The following is a 16,755-nucleotide window of genomic DNA, read 5'->3' on the forward strand; positions in this document are numbered from 1 at the left end:
CTCCACTTCTTATTCTCTCCAGGATAAACACAGGAGCCAGGGCGTGGCAGGGACTAGGGTAGGAGCGACCAGCGTGCCCAGGCCTGCACCCTGTGATGGTGTGGAGAAACCACAGCCCTGGAAACACCTTTCAGGGCTGCCAGTGTTGGCTGGGGAGCCGTCAGATCAGGAGGGAGGAGTCATGACCCACAGAAGAGAAGCCTAGGTCAAGGCCCAAAGAGGAAGCCCAGGGTCAGGGCCTCAGCTCTGCCTCTGTGTCCCAACAACAGATAATTTTTTTCCCATTAACGGAGAAATTTGCTATCCTCTAAGCCCTGTTCTGTGACTTATCCTCTGTCCCTGACACATCTTCCTGTTACCTGACCTCTCCCCATCCCCAACCACTCCAAACGGTCCCATAGCCAGGAGGGTCCGCATCTGAGCAACATCCCCACCCCGACTCCGACTCCGATTCCTCAGACCCACAGCTAGGAGGGCCTGGGTTCTGTCCTAGGGCCGGGTGGGGGTCTGGATGCAGATGGCAGACAGGAGTGAGCAAGAGAAGGAGAAAAAGGAATGAGTGTACAGAGAGCACCCATGCCCAGCTGGCCTTGCTCCAGCCCAGAGAGGGCCAGGCTGGCCCCTCCCAGCATCTACTGAATTCAATGCCTACTCTAGTTACCAAATAACTGTCCTAGAGCTCTGATGCAAAGTTCAAGTGTTGTTTTCAGTGATGGGTCAAAATATCCATGTAAATATGCCATGTTGGTCTTCTCCAACCCCAGAGAGGGACAGGAAGTCCTATAGAATCACTCCTCTTTCTCCATCTGGATTCAGAGGGTCGTCCTAGAACCCAGTGCTTCCCCTGGCAGACTCTTTCCTCCTGGTCTCTCCCTGGCACAAGCCCTCAGATCTGCTCAAGGCGCCAGAGAGGCTGGGAGGCTGGGGTGGGACAGAACGTGGATGCCAACTATGCTCTGAATACTAATTCTCCCCATCACTCCTGCCCTTCCTAACCCACATCAGCCCTCTCTTCCCAAGCCCATAGAACCTGGGGGTCCTTGAACCTCATTCTTCCCTCTAGGTCCGAGTAACAGGGAGCTGTGAAAAAAGAATGACATCCTGGAGGAAGACCCTGACCCAGGAGTAGAAGGGACTCTTGAAGGCAGTGTCCGGCCTCTCCTTCCTCTCAGGCCCCACTCTGGAGGGACCCTTCCAGGGCCTCTGACACCAACACACAGATCCTCAAGAGGTGCACAGGGCCGCTGAGTGCATCTGACCCTGGACTTCCAGCTGCCCTGTCACCAGCTGCTGGTCCCACTGAGGCCCTGGCCCCAGATGCTGGCAGCTACAGAGGAAGGGCAGGCAGACCCTCTGCCCAAACTTGCAGGAGAGTGGCCAAGGCCTTTCCCTGACTCCACTTCAGGCCCAAACCCTGCCCAGCCCCTGGACACTCACACTCCTTCATCATGCCGATGTCCACACAGCGTTTGAGCCGGCAGGCCTGGCAGTGGCGTCGGTTGTCCTTGGTGATGCGGCAGTCCCCGTTGAAGGGGCAGGTGAATAGTGCCTTCCGCTTCATGCTTCGCCTGCCGAGAGAGCACACACCCTGCCCTGGGTCACTGAACTTCCGGCTCCTCACCCTGTCATCACGGAGACCTGTCTTCTGGGCCCCCTGGTCTCCATTTCTCCAACAGAAGACATGAGGCCCACCCCAGCTGCCAGTCACTCTCACCTCTAGGCTGGGCACCAAACGATTCCTACTTCTCCTTTCATTGCCTGCCCAGCTCCAATCATGGCTTGTACTTACCTTTTTTCTTTTAATTTTTGTTTCTTTTGGGGGGACAGGGTGTTGCTTTGTAGCCCAGGCTGGAATGCAGTGGCATGATCTCAGCTCACTGCAGGCTGGACCTCCTGGGTTCAAGTAATCCTCCTGCTTCAGCCTCCAGTATAGCTGGGATTACAGGTGCATACCACCATGCCTGGCTAATTTTTTGATTTTTTTGTAAAAATGGGGTCTCACTATGTTGCCCAGGCTAGTCTGGAACTCCTGGGCTGAAGCAATCCTCTATCCTAGGCCTCCCACAGTGCTGGGATTACAGGTGTGAGCCACTGCACTCCGACTCTTTTTTTTTTTTTTTTTTGAGACGGAGTTTTGCTCTGTCACCCAGGCTGGAGTGCAGTGGCTCACTCAGCTCACTGCAAGCTCCACCTCCCGGGTTCACACCATTCTCCTGCCTCAGCCTCCAGAGTAGCTGGGACTACAGGCGCCCGCCACCACTCCTGGCTAATTTTTTTTTGTATTTTTAGTAGAAATGGGGTTTCACCGTGTTAGCCAGGATGGTCTCGATCTCCTGACCTCATGATCCGCCTGCCTTGGCCTCCCAAAGTGCTGGGATTACAGGCGTGAGCCATCGCGCACAGCCACGCCCCGACTCTTATACTTATTTTACAGTACTCTGTTCCCCTTCCCATTTTAAAAAATTAAACAGGAAATAACAAAAGTGCATTTCCCTAGAAAAAACCCTTTTTTTTTTGAGATGGAGTCTCGCTCTGTCGCCCAGGCTGGAGTGCAGTGTTGCGATCTCAGCTCACTGCAAGCTCCACCTCCTGGGTTCATGCCGTTCTCCTGCCTCAGCCTCCCGAGTAGCTGGGACTACAGGCGCCCACCACCGCACCCGGCTAATTCTTTGTATTTTCAGTAGAGACGGGGTTTCACTGTGGTCTCGATCTCCTGACCTCATGATCCGCCTGCCTCGGCCTCCCAAAGTGCTGGGATTACAGGCGTAAGCCACTGTGCCTGGCCGAAGAAACCTTTTTAAATATTGAAATCTCCAGAGTAGCCAGCATAATAACATTTAATGAGCCGCTATGAGAAGTAAGGATGCTAGTCTCAGCATGAAGTCTTCTAGATTCTAGAGACCTGTGACTGGAATAGCTCCTGTTCCAGGGATAGATGTGTACATGGAAGGAAGAAAAGGCCCAAACCATAGCTCTAGACATCCCAGAACCTGCCCAGAAAAAGAAGGGGCCAGACAAGCAGGTGGAAATCCTGAGGCCTGGCCTTGGGTTTTTTGAAAGGAAGAGGAAGCAGGAGCTCTGTAGGAACAGAAAACTAGAGCTGGGCACAGTGGCTCAGGCCTGTAATCCTAGCACTTTGAGAGGCTGAGGTGGGCGGATCATCTGAGGTAAGGAGTTTGAGACCAGCCTGGCCAACATGCCAAAACTCCGTCTCTACTAAAAATACAAAAATTAGTTGGCCATGATGGTGCATGCCTGTAGTCCCAGCTACTTGGGGGCTGGGAGCTGAGGCAGGAGAGTCGTTTGAACCCAGGAGGTAGAGGTTGCAGTAGGCCAAGATCATGCCACTGCACTCCAGCCTGGGCAACAGAGCAAGACCCTGTCTCAAAAAACAAAACAAAACAAAACAAAAAAAACCCAGAAAACTACTGAAGTGTTCTTAGCTAGAAAGGTGGCACCCTTGAGGCTGGGTGTGGTGGCTCAGGCCTGTAATCCCAGCACTTTGAGAGGCCGAGGTGGGTGGATCATGAGGTCAGGAGTTTGAGACCAGCCTGACCAACATAGTGAAACCCCATCTCTACTAAAAATACAAAAATTAGCCGGGCACGGTGGCACATGCCTATAGTCCCCGCTACTCGGGAGGCTGAGGCAGGAGAATCACTTGAACTTGGGAGACGGCCGTTTCACTGAGCCGAGATTGTGCCACTGCATTCTAGCCTAGGCAACAGAATGAGACTCTGTCTCAAAAAAAAAAGAAAGAAAAGAAAAAGAAAAGTGGCACCCTTGTAGCCTATGTAAGTTGTGTGTGTGTGTGTGTGTGTGCACAAGTGTGCACATTTAAGGGCTCATTTTCCTAATTCGAACATTCTCTCCCACTGCCAGCCACACCACGTGGACTTTGGGAGGCTGCATAAAGGACACCTCCCTGAGGCACCTCCCTAGAGGCTTTTCATCATCCATGTCCTGAGAGTCCTGTCCTCCTCCCAGCCCCAGCAGGAGTAGGCCCCACTTTTCTGACATAGTTAGATGGGGAAAGATGGTGGCAGAATCACTGTCTGCATGAGCAGCAGCATCTTCCAAGGAACTGCTGAGTGTGAAGATGCCCAAGCCTTCCAAGCCAAAGCCCAGGCCCAACCATTTCCTTCCTGGAGATGAGCTACTGACGTCATCTGCTCAGGGGCCAGGCATTAGTTAGGATTCTTGGTAAAACATGACTCACTGTTCACATTCACTAGAACATACATGGGGTTGAGGGGAATCGCACTCATCAATTGTCAAGCTTGCTCTAGCAAATGGACAGCTGGGGACCACACCGACTCAGCCCCTGGGATAGAGAAGAGACCAGAGTAGGGCTCTACTGGCAGTCCCAGGCAGGCCCAGACTCTTAGATCCACAGAGGGCCCAAGAGACCGTCAGTGTAACTCCCTCCCTTTATACGTGGGACCACTGAGGTTAAGAAACTTACAGGTGAGGATATTCAGCAAGAAGTGCAGGCTCCTAGGTCTGGAAGTCTTAGGGATCTAAGGCTTAGCCTTTAGCTTCCTGGATTGTTTTCAACCCCAGAAACTTAAAGTGCTCAGTGAAGTTGATGCCCCAAACAGCCCCAGGTGGCTCAATGCCAAGAATGACCCAACAGTCAAGGAAGCAGCTGCTGTTGGTTTTGGACCTTGGCTCTGGTACCCTGCTGTGACAACCCTCATCACCCAAGGGGCCTACTGCAGAGCCAGGGTTGTCAGGAGGTGGAGCAGCACCAGGCTATCAGGGGCTCCTTAGCTCCAAGTCTAGCCCGCCTCAGGCCCAGTCCTAACCCTGCAGTAGCTAACAAGAAAGAAGTTATACGCCAGGCTTTTTTCCATCTTCGTAGAAACAAAAAGCCTTTTGCCGTTCACCTCTATTTGTTTACTGCTGCTTTTCTGGAGGGACAAGAGAATATGGAAGCATCTTGGGAACTGTTAGGGTTCCCCAGAAACGAGATACAATTATCCCCACAGGGACATCTGTATGTTCCAGGACATGAGATTGGTGTCCCTCCCACCAACCTTGTGGTTCTTGAGGCTTCATCCGTCACCACAAATGCTCAGGCCTCAGAATGCCCGTAATTCTCTAAACTTACTCAAGGACCAGAAGTTTCTATTTCAGAAGAAACTCTCATTTCCTTTTTTTTTTTTTTGTTTTTCAACAACCGGGCATTTCGCTCTGGTCACTGAGGGGCTGCTCTGTCCTCCCACTGGCTGTCTTGTCTGGCTCAGAGCTCTTCCTGTTAAGCCTGCAAGGCCATGGGCACCAAGAAGACAGCACATCGTCAGCCTAGCCCAGCCACCACCTACAGTGATGTGAGCCAAAGCCTCTCACCAGACTGGGCCCGGGACTGAGAGCTTCTTGAGGCCCCAGGGCCTATCAGAGGCCCCGTCTGTCCTTCCCCAGGCTCCAGGGAGCCTGCCTTTGACCCTCACTTGGGGGCAGCCCCCCCAGCTGCAGGGTTGCCTGAAAAGAGATTCCACTGCTTCGCCATCTTTCTCTCATTTTTCTCATGTCACTTTAAATATGAAGCTCCATCTCAGATGTCTATACGCAGGAGGGTTGGAGATTGCCACTCAGCCCCACTTTGCCTGACAACAGGAATGAGGCTAGGAATAGGAAGAGAAGGCCGGGCGCGGTGGCTCACACCTGTAATCCCAGCACTTTGGGAGGCCGAGACAGGCGGATCGCGAGGTCAGGAGATCGAGACCATTGTGGCTAACACGGTGAAACCCCATCTCTACTAAAAATGCAAAACATTAGCCGGGCGTGTTGGCGGGCGCCTGTAGTCCCAGCTACTCGGGAGGCTGAGGCAGGAGAATGGCGTGAACCCGGGAGGTGGAGCTTGCAGTGAGCTGAGATCGTGCCACTACACTTCAGCCTGGGGGACAGAGCGAGACTCCATCTCAAAAAAAAAAAAAAAAAAAAAAAAGGAATAGGAAGAGAAAATAGTGCAGAGCTGAATTAAGAGAAAGTACTGGGACTGGGTGCAGTGGCGTGAGCACGCCTGTAAGCCCAGCACTTTGGGAGGCTGAGGTGGGCAGATAGCTTAGGCTCAGGAGTTTGAGACCAACCTGGCCAACATGGTGAAACCCTGTATCTACAAAAGATTAAAAAAAATTAGCCAGGCATGGTGGCATGCGCCTGTGGTCTCAGCTACTTGGGAGGCTAAGGTGGAAGGATCGCTTGAGCTGGTGAGGTCAAGGCTGCAGTGAACCAAGATTGTGCCACTGCACTTCAGTGTGGGTGACAAAGTGAGATCCTGTCTCTAGAAATAAAAAATAAAAGAGAAAGTACTGGGGGTAAAAAAAAAGTTTGGCGCCCTTGCTTCTGCTTAAGAGTTGTCATATGAAGCCCGAGAACACTGAAAAGGAAGAGGACACCATTACGCTCTGGAGCGTGGGGTCAGTGTTCAGGGTATAGAAAGTTTGCTCCCCAGCTCCAACTGCCAGACCCAGAGGCTCTCTGGAACTCAGATCCCAGAGCTGGCCTTTCAGGTGTGTCTGGCCCAACATGTCTGTTTGCTGGGCCACAGATCCTCTTGGCTCAGAGGTCCTGTTCTTCCCTGTTCTCCTGCCTTCCAAGGGCACTTCCACATGTGTGGCTGTCATTTACTCTCTGCCCACGAGGAGTCAGGGCAGCCAGACTGCCCAACCCTGGCTCTGTGCTTTGTCCTGAAGGTCTACACCCTACCCTGCCTTCCTCCCAATACTAATTGCCTGTGAGCTGGTTTGGATTTGAGAAACAAGAGCTTCAGGTTTCCATGAGAGCCCATTGCCTCAGCTGCTCTCTGAGCCTGGACCCTGTCATCCTCTGGTTGGTTGGCATTTATACCCCAGCTCAGGAAGGGGGGGTAGGGGTGGGGCAACCAAGCTAAATATAGATGCAGTTTCTAGAAAGCCAGGGGTGAGAGAGGACATTGACCGATTCTCATGCCAGAGACCAGTTTATCAAAACAGAAAGAGACAAAAACCTCACAAAAGCATCAAGAGCCTGGGGCCAGGGCCTCAGGCCTGGGACAGTTGGGCCTTTCTCCAGTAGGTGGCCTCTGCCAGCAGAGACGCACGTTGCATAACCCAGGCGTAGGGTCAACTATCCCCTCTGGGCTCCATCTCCACTGCACTGTCACAGAGATTCCAGCGTCTGCTCAGGATACAGGAACTAGCGAGAGCTCCTGATCTGAAAGCTATGTGAGGTGCTGGGAATGCTTACTAGTTTGATTATGGTGATCATTTCACAATGTATATGTATAGCAGAACATCGAGTTGTGCACCTGAAATATAGACCATGTCTATCTGTCAATTATACCCCAGCAAATCTAAAGGAATAAAAAGACCTACATCAAATGATGTAGGGGCCTACATGTATGTGAGAGGCAGCATCAGGGGGTTCTCCTCAGGTGGGTTTAAAAAAACATTAAAGGATGGTTAGCACTGTAGAAAAGAGCACAGACTTTTTTTTTTGGAGGGCAATTGGCAATGCGAAGCATGTTAAACACACAGACATTTTAACGCAGTAAAGCCACTTCCAGGTATTTATCCTGTGGGTAGATCGGTCCATGGGCGCAATGGTGGTTACTGCAGCTCTGTCTGGAGAAGCCAAAGACCGAACCTAAATGACCATGACAGAGGACTGGTTTCTTTCTTTTCTCTTTCTTTCTCTTTCTCTTTCTTTCTTTCTTTCTTTCTTTCTTTCTTTCTTTCTTTCTTTCTTTCTTTCTTTCTTTCTTTCCTTTCTCTCTCTCTCTCTCTTCCTTCCTTCCTTCCTCTCTTTCTCTCTTTCTATCTGTCTGTCTATCTGTCTTTCCTTCCTTCCTTCCTTCTTTTCTCTCTTTCTTTCTTTTTTTTTTTTTTCTGGATGGAATTTCACTCTGTCACCCACGCTGGAGTGCAGCAGCACGATCTGGGCTCACTGCAACCTCTGGCTCCCAGGTTCAATCGATTCTCTTGCTTCAGCCTCCCGAGTAGCTGGAATTACAGGCATGTGCCACCACGCCTGGCCAATTTTTTGTATTTTCAATAGAGATGGGGTTTCACCATGTTGGCCAGACTGGTCTCGAACTCCTGACCTCAAATGATCCACCCACCTTGGCCTCCCAAAGTGCTGGGATTACAGGCATGAGCCACCGTGCCCAGCCAGGCACTGGTTTCTTATCTCACAGAACCTCCATATAATACTCTGTGACTATGAAAAAGAAAGAGGAAGAATGCTGAAATGGGAATGAGCTTGAAGAAGTGTTCTTTAGCAGATAAAACCAAGATGCAGAATGGTGACGTGTGTGCACACACACATACACACACACACATATGCACTTTTACATAAAGAATCTGGAAGCGAACACGATGAGCTGGCAACAGTGACAGCTTCCTGGAGGAGGTAGGGAACTAAGAATTGGGTTGAATAGGTGATTTACTTTTCACTTACATATCCTCTTAAACTGTTGGCTTTTTAAAAAGCCATATTATGACGTTACATTTAAAAAATCCACTACCCACTACAACTACCTAAACATTAAAAATGAAATGCAGTCTTTGGTTAGATCGATATGTTTGAGTTTAAATCTTAAAGCACAACCTTGGGCAAGTTACTTAACCTTCCCATCCATTAGTTTCCACATCTGTAAAATGGGAGCAACATTTCAGAGAGGGTTGTAAGAACTAAATAAAGGAAAAGGGAACAGGACCTGGACAAAGGAAACCCTAAATAAAGGGAAAGAAGAGAAACTAGCAGAAAGAGGCAGTGGGAGGGAGTGCTGAGAGTGGGTGAAAGTAGATTTTAAAGTAGATTTTAAACATCTCATTAAGAATTTGAGACCCCTGAAGCAGACACCATGTCTTAGGCCTGCTCTCTGGGTGCCTAGCATGGGAGCCTGCAGGCAGCAGAGTTTGAAACCATATTTCTGTTTCATGTGCTGTAGCTCCTGATGTCTAGAGCCACAGCCCCTGTGCTAGTTACAGCAACCACTGTCCAGTTCTGTTGAGCACCAGCCAGTTCTACCCAGCCTTTGACCGACATGAAGCTCTCTCAGAGCCCCTGGCCCAGCCCTTCCCTCTTCATACCTGATATTTAACTCCTTCTGTTTAGGAACCTCTTTTCAGAGACCACTGCCAACACATCACATAGTTATACTTTCCAAGTTCCATGGTAGAGAAAAGGAAGAAAGGACCATCTGTCCTCAAAACTAAGACACTAAAAAGGGATAATGATACTAGCTATCACCACTGGAAGCTTTCTAGGTCAGTATTTTACATACTATCTCCAATGCTCTCGACAACCTTTGGGTAGATATTATCCCTGTTTTACAAGTGACACAAAAAGGCACGGGAAAGTTAAATAACTTGCTTTAAGTCACAGCTAGCAAGTCTGAAAGCTGGAATTAGAATCAAGAACTGTTTGACTCCAAGGAATCTGACTGATATGGTTTGGCTCTGTGTCCCCACCCAAATCCCATCTCGAATTGTAATCCCCATGTGTCGAAGGAGGGGCCTGGTGGGACATGATTGGATCATGGGGACAGATTTCCCCCTTGCTGTTCTTGTGATACTGAGTGAGTTCTCACAAGATCTGATGTTTTTAAAGTGTGGCGCTTCCCCCTTCACTTGCTCTCTGTCTCTCCTGCTGCCATGTAAGACAGGCCTTGCTTCCCCTTTACCTTCCGCCATGATTGTAAGTTTCTGAGGCCTCCCCATCCATGCAGAACCATGAGTCAATTAAACCTGTTTTCTTTTTTTTTTTTTTTTTTTTTTTTTTTTTGAGACGGAGTCTCGCTGTCGCCCACGCTGGAGTGCAGTGGCGCAATCTCGGCTCACTGCAGCCTCCGCCCCCTGGGGTTCACGCCATTCTCCTGCCTCAGCCTCCCGAGTAGCTGGGACTACAGGCGCCCGCCACCTCGCCCGGCTAATTTTTTGTATTTTTAGTAGAGACGGGGTTTCACCGTGTTAGCCAGGATGGTCTCGATCTCCTGACCTCGTGATCCGCCCGCCTCGGCCTCCCAAAGTGCTGGGATTACAGGCGTGAGCCACCGCGCCCGGCCACCTGTTTTCTTTATAAATTACTCAGTCTTGGGTAGTTCTTTATAGCAGTGTGAATATGGACTAATACACTGATCTTCATATATACTATGGTTCTCATCAGGAATGTACCATCTCTCAATCCAAGCTAGAGCAGCAGTCAAAAACATGCTTTCCCAAAGTCCAGGAGCATGAAGCAGAGGCTGTTTGAAGGACTCCTCTAGGACAAATCCCTCTAGGGATTCAGGCAGTCTCTAGAAGGATGCTTTGGAAGTGTGGGGTCACATCTGACCATGCTCTCCACTGGCCCTGTATAACCCAAGCACAGGGAAGATCTCAAGTGTGTGCTGAGTGCAAAGTCATGCAAATGAGCCCTGATTAGAGTGCTGAATTTCAAAAGAAATAAAAGAATGACAAAAAGGTAATGTAAAATCCTATCCTTGCAGCTGTCTTTCTTGATAGCTTCAGTGACCTTCCCTCTCCAAATATTTTGGCCTCCTCTACCCAAGCTTCTGAACATTACTCTTGGAACATCCATAGATAACCCCACTCATTCTCTTTCATTCACATCCTTGAATATCTGTGAATGGAGGTCAGCTGCCAAAGTGGACCTGGACAAAGTCTCTCCAGCAACACTGACTTCTTGGTCACTCATTTACTTGTGCCCATAGAATACCCTGTGTGGCTGTTCCTCCCTTTTTTCTCTATTTTCTCTCCTTTAAGCAGTTTAGGTTTTAAATTCCTGGACATCTGCCCTATTTCTCTGCTTCCTTTCACATCAGGTTGCTAGAAGAGCTACAAATATCAGTGGGGTGACCTTCCTGAATGCCAGAACATTCCTCATCTTCCTGGATCCTCGCCAGCCTACCTTTTGCCCCCTGCACTCCGCATGACCCATAATTAACAAAGTCCTCAAGAACCTTGGAGCTAGGAAGCGAAAACGCACTTCTCTGCACTGTCTTTGTTAGCTTGTAGCTGCACAGAGTCCTTATTTAAGCATCCCAACAGGGAGGAAGAAGACAAGATAAGCAGGCAAACGATGACCTGTTTCTCATCTTGCCTTCCAGGATCAGCTCTTAAACCTCACCATCCACCTTCATTCTCTTCATCAAAGGGGTTCCTCTGATTTTCTTCTCTGTCCATTACACCTTTTCCTTTATATCAGACTCCGGACGAAGCCATCCATGACCATATGCATCCACATGCATATACATATATGGATCATCCACTATATATGTCATTTGGAATAGACCTATTCCAAATGTTTTTCCTCCTCTGGCTCTTACTTATGCTTTAGTTGTTAACATATAGCCAAGAGGTGTCTGGCCATCTATAAGCCTGCCTGTGCCAACCTTATATTCACACTGGAAATATCATCTTTCTCTGAGGATGTCCCTGTATTCCAGAATAACAGGAAGCACAAGCAACATGAAATAGCTTGCAGGAGGAATTGACCAGCAATGGCCTCTAATGCCTGATCATAGATCAATAGAACTGTGATCCCTCTCTAACCTTCTAACCATCATCACACTTCAGCTAGATTATGAGTCTTAGACTCGTTTTGATGATAACAACTAGCTCCTAGAGCAGTTTAGTTAACTATCTTAGAAGCCAAACCAAATACTAAATGGTCAAATGGGATTGGATTACTGGTCTCCAGGGCTTGGAAAAGAGCTAGTGACCCAATATTCAAGCAATGCTGTCTGTCAATAACTATCAGGAAATGGTCAAGCAAGCTTCTTGAGAGCAAGGACTTGGTTCCTGTCATCTCTGTGTTCCCAAGGATGCAAGGATGCAGTACCCACCACAGAGAAGGTACAGACCACTGACATTGTCCTTGCTTCCTGGGATCAGAGTTTCACAAACAGATATGAGTGACCACAGGGTTCTCAAGCAACTATTTGGACCAGATCAAAATGGAAAACTTCCAAATAAAATTTGGATGAAGCAAAGAAGGAGAAGCAGGCATCAGGGGTGGAAGAAGAGGAGAAATGATGTATGTATAGCTGATTCTCATTATTCATGGTAGTTATGGTCTATAGTCACTGTGGACACTGGATTAGTGAATATTGAAACACTGTTCCTGGAGGAAACACAGGGTGAGGTTTCTGCAAGCCTCTGGTCACAAAATTTTCATCAACTGATCAACACATAACCTTGTCTTATGTGAGTTTTCTGTTTAAAGATATCTTATTCAATAGATATTGTTGGTTGAGTTATTAACATTGATCAAACAGCCAGCAGCACTGTTGTCCTCAGGAAGCTTGTCTAACACACATAGTTTCCCTGTGAGGCACATCACGGCCTTGCACTTAGGAACACCAGACAGCAGTGCAGCACTACGCTTGGGAACTGTTTTAAACAGCAAAGTCACCAATAAAAATCAAAAAAAGGCAAAAAATGTAGCACTAAATAGATTGTGAAGACCCTGGCTGGGAAGATAGGTGCCAAGTCATGTGAATTTTTCACTGCTCTGCACATGTTCACAAATGACCACAAAGGGGCTGCAAGTATTGATTTTGGTAAATTTTAGCAAGTGGGCAGATTTGCAAATACAGAATCCATGAATAATGAAGGTTGACTGTGTGTGTGTGTGTGTGTGCATGTGTGTGTTTGTTTATGTACATATCAAACAAAATTCAGAACCTTGCAGCTGTCTTTCTTGACAGCTTCAGTGACCTTCCCTCAAGTTTCTGAACATTACTCTTGAACAATCCATAGATAACCCCACTCATTCTCTTTCATCCACATCCTCAAGCAAATGACAGACATGTTGGCTCTTTAGAATGTAGCAGCCTAGCTTAGTCATCAAGACAGAGACAGTAAAGATCTAAGTAAGGTAGACTGAGGACAGGGTAACAAGACAAAACCAGCCTGCAGCCCATAGTGCCAGGCATTGCAGGCAGTGGTTGTGACCAACAGCCAGCAACAGACTCTAAGGGCTCTTGTCAAGGTGGACTAAGAGTGGGTTAAGGTGGCATCATGTGCCCACAAGCAACACAGCCACTCTGTCAGTCTGTGGTGACACAGATTACAAACATACCATCCTTGTTCATTCTGCCATCTTTCACACTCAGCCTGGGGCATGACAGGACCTGTCCTCTCTCCACCCAGATGCCTCACATGCTCCTGTCCTGAGGATTCCCAGCCTAGTGGTGTGTCCAAGGGCAGCAACTACAGATGCATAGCAGTCAGAGCCACTCCAGTGAGGAACTGGCCTCCAATGTGTCACCACCCAACCAGCTGCCACCTAAGATTCTCATTTCCCAGAGCTGAATCTCAGGGGGGAGGAGGCCTAGGAGGAGAGAGTGGATTTGGGGGTAGAGACTCCATAACCAAATGCTTTGGTTGCAGACTGACAAGATATGACCTTCGGTGAGAATCTCCATATTGACAACTCCTAGCCCAATGCCAGATTATAAATGCAGATTGAAGTCTGGTGACGGAATGAGTGAAAGAAACACAAGGCCAGACATGGTGGCTCATGCCTATAATCCTAGAACTTTGGGAGGCCAAGATGGAAGGATCGCTTGAGCCCAGGAGTTTGAGACCAGCCTGGGCAACATAAGGAGGCCCCATCACTACAAAAAAATCACACAAACACACACACACACGAGGAAAGTGGCTGGCTGGCTGGCTGCGAGGCTTTTGTTTATTTTATGAGAGCATGGTTCCATGAAGGGCAGCAGTGGTGACCCATCAGGCTCAAAAATCTCAGCTTTTTTCATCAGACTGAAAAAGTGTTTTTCAAAGCACTTTTTTACATGTCATCTCATTAATCCTCAGATTAACACTATGTAGCAGAGGGGGTGGATATCAATACATGCATGCCATTAGTTGAGTTAACTAAAACCTAGATATGTCAAGGACATCCATTTGAGCAAGGACATCCCATAAATTATTGCCATGGCCAGCACCCCAGACCATGCCTTTCTGATGGGTTTCATGGTAGTAAGCAGGCGCTGAGGTGTGCGTTAGATTCCCCTCTCATTAGCACTCAAGGCAGCCCCCCAAGTTAGAGGACCTGGCAGGAAAGGGTCCATGTGTCACCTGGGACACACAACTGGGGCTCTAGAAGGCCCACCCTGCAGGATGTGTGGACCTCAGGCCCAAGGATTGGCAAATGCAGCAACACGACTTAGAGCCAGCGATGCTGCTTGTCTGGTTCCCCGAGCTGGAGAGTAGGCTGCCGGGAAGCCAAGCGGGCAGCCAGTGCCAGGCCAAACAGGCAATTAGCACCCACAGAAACCCCACTGCCCAGCAATTGCTCAAGGCCATGAAACTCTGGGCCTGCTGATTCCTGAGGCAGAGGGCAGGTGAATCAGGAGCTTGTGTTGACAGAGAGACCCCAAGTCCTTGAGTAAGAGTCCCACACAAGCGCCTGGACTTGAATTCACTGTGCCCCCAAGGCGAGGAGAGCACTCCGGTTTAGACAACAACCAAGCCGACCTCAGCATCCTCCTCTGGACTTGATTTGTGCTTTCCTCATTTGATGGTTAGAGCCCTGCCATAGCCACCTCCAGTCTAGACCGCTAGACAGAAGATCTGTTTTGGCTGCCTTCTTTCAGGCTATTCTCTCTCTCTCTCTCCAATACATGCCAAATGCTAATTTCTCATGATTCCCAGTTCCTGCCCCAATTCATCCCTTTCCCACGCTCCCACCCTGGCTTTGAATGGGAACCTCCAGTGCTTTTCCCACACCTTTCACATCTGTAATCCTGGGCTCATGTAAGGGGAGTGTGTTGGTAAAGAAACTGGCCCTGATCAAACAGGAATGCAGGTACATTCCTGACACTGCCTGGATGTTCCAAGGTTGGCTTTCAGACCAGGACAAACAGTCCTTGGGTGAAGATATGGGTACAGATCGTGATGACCCGACAAGAGGTGCCATTTCCCTTGTTCCAAGGAACAGTTTGGATTGGATGGGAAGGCAAGCTCTGAAACCAAGTTCTTGGGCTTTCCCCAAAGACATGCCTGTCTCTTGGGTGAGGAAGCTGTGATCATCAACAGGGAGGAGGTTCACTCTGGAAGGATGGACACGTGGGTTGGTGTAGGAGGCTGTGGGTTACAGGCGTAATGGAAAGACAGAGACCCACACAGCAACCTCAGGAAAGCGATTTCCAAGAGAGTCAGAGGAACATCTGGAGCTGAGAGGAGGGAAAAGAAGATACCACTCACCAAGACCCTCCTGCTCCTGTGGCTGTGAGCGCCGCATGTTCCATGGACATTGTAAGGAAGGAGATGTGAAAAATGCAAGGGCTCCCTTCATGGAAACACCTTGCTTCTTCTCCCTCCCTTTCCACTGGGGAGAGCCTGGGAGGAGGGCTCACCTGAAGAAGCCTTTGCAGCCTTCACAGGTCATAGCATTGAAGTGAAAGCCAGTGGCTCGGTCTCCACACACCCCACAGATCCGGGGCACGTTCCGGTCAAAGTCTCCAGGGTCAGGCAGGGAAGTGCTGGCCGCCATTGCCTCCATCCCTGTAAGAACAGCAAGCAGGCCACGGTCAGAGCCAGAGTCAGTGCCAGGGCCAGCTGGCATCCTTGGTGCCACCCACCCCCAGCCTCATCCCACCGCCCCCACCCCCCACCACCAGGGAGCTCAGCAAGGGTGGGCATCTCCCCAGGGCCCAGGCCTGAGCACAGTGCCTTCGGAGCCCTCATACATGATTCGCCCTACATAGCTGGCTCAGAGCATGGCTTGGAATCAGCTGCCTGGTTTCAGATGTTGCATCTGTCAGGTTAATTTGGGTTTAGTGGTTCACCTCTGCATGCCCCCGCTGTCTGCATTGGAAGAGGTGTTTTACTTCCAGGGTGTAAGGATCATATGCATGAACCCATTCATGCTACTGGCACTAGCTCTGCCTCAGGCACAGACCTGAACCAGGTCAGGGGCTTCTATCCTGCCCAACGCCCCCTCCAAGGGAAAATGAGAGTCCTCCCTCAGCCTCAGCACCTACATGTGGAGAGAAACCCTCAGGTCTCCTCCTCTTGAGGGTGGGGGGAATTGAGGATTTAGGTGCCCTGGTCATTCCAGCCCCAGCTCCTCACAACCATAAAGCTCAGGGCTAATAGGCTTATGCCCCTGGTGTTCCTGTACCAAGACAATCAACATTTCAAGATATTTCCCCCCCCTTTTTTTGGCAATAACACTTAAAACATTATTTTGAATGTCCTTCTGAGTCATGTGAGTCCTATACAATTAATTGTGTTTTCAGAGATGGTTTTTCTAAACAGGCATTATCATCTAGAGATGGATTTCATACTTGAGGAAAAGGAGAAGAGACAGACGGAACGAAAGCCCACAGCTTTGGGAAGGCCTTCTCAGGAAGCAGCTGGCTTGACTCTTTCATTAGCCAAAACTGGGCCCCCAGCTTTGTCTGCTGCGTCTGATCCCGTCTACTGTCAGGCTCAGAGATGATTCTGGGATACCTCAGACTGCCCTGAAATGCTTTCAGACCCTACTGCCTCCCAGTTCTCCCAATTTTATCTGAATCCTCAAAAGGGTCATTACAGGTTTCAGTGACCCCTTTGACCCTAGGCAAAGGGTCCTTCTTGTCAGAAGAAAAATAAGAGAGAAAGCCAGGAAACAAGAGACAAGAACCCACTCCACCCCAGGGTACCATTTCCTCCTGCCCTTGGGTGACAGAGGCAGATTCTGGGGGCCCTTGGGAGGCTCTGAGCTACTTTTCAATGACTAGGCCCATGATCTCTGATCTAGGGTGTGGAA

The 16,755-nt window shown here is 49.3% G+C and overlaps 1 protein-coding gene across 8 annotated transcripts in view, besides 4 other annotated features; it reads right to left on the bottom strand.

Annotated features, from left to right (window-relative positions):
* VDR (vitamin D receptor) overlaps positions 1 to 16,755 on the bottom strand; it is a 63,458-nt gene that overhangs the window by 22,073 nt on the left and 24,630 nt on the right. For all 8 annotated transcript variants that reach the window (NM_001374662.1, NM_000376.3, NM_001364085.2 and 5 more), the window contains 2 exons: positions 15,359 to 15,506; positions 1,438 to 1,568 (listed from right to left, as the gene is read on the bottom strand). In NM_001374662.1, the coding sequence (NP_001361591.1) occupies positions 1,438 to 1,568; positions 15,359 to 15,504 (277 nt within the window). In that variant the 5' untranslated portion in view covers positions 15,505 to 15,506. The remainder of the gene's footprint in view (positions 1 to 1,437; positions 1,569 to 15,358; positions 15,507 to 16,755) is intronic.
* Positions 4,884 to 5,384: an enhancer, noted in NCBI's record as "H3K4me1 hESC enhancer chr12:48262276-48262776 (GRCh37/hg19 assembly coordinates)". NCBI's record gives its function as "activates a minimal SCP1, AML or CMV promoter by ChIP-STARR-seq in naive H9 embryonic stem cells {active_cell/tissue: H9 hESC(naive)}" and the evidence as "EXISTENCE:reporter gene assay evidence [ECO:0000049][PMID:30033119]".
* Positions 5,090 to 5,269: an enhancer, noted in NCBI's record as "active region_6270". NCBI's record gives its function as "activates an Ori minimal core promoter by ATAC-STARR-seq in GM12878 lymphoblastoid cells {active_cell/tissue: GM12878}" and the evidence as "EXISTENCE:reporter gene assay evidence [ECO:0000049][PMID:35858748]".
* Positions 5,370 to 5,439: an enhancer, noted in NCBI's record as "active region_6271". NCBI's record gives its function as "activates an Ori minimal core promoter by ATAC-STARR-seq in GM12878 lymphoblastoid cells {active_cell/tissue: GM12878}" and the evidence as "EXISTENCE:reporter gene assay evidence [ECO:0000049][PMID:35858748]".
* Positions 6,206 to 6,255: an enhancer, noted in NCBI's record as "active region_6272". NCBI's record gives its function as "activates an Ori minimal core promoter by ATAC-STARR-seq in GM12878 lymphoblastoid cells {active_cell/tissue: GM12878}" and the evidence as "EXISTENCE:reporter gene assay evidence [ECO:0000049][PMID:35858748]".

Source organism: Homo sapiens, chromosome 12 (assembly GCF_000001405.40).
Source record: "Homo sapiens chromosome 12, GRCh38.p14 Primary Assembly".
Taxonomy (NCBI): Eukaryota; Metazoa; Chordata; class Mammalia; order Primates; family Hominidae; genus Homo; species Homo sapiens.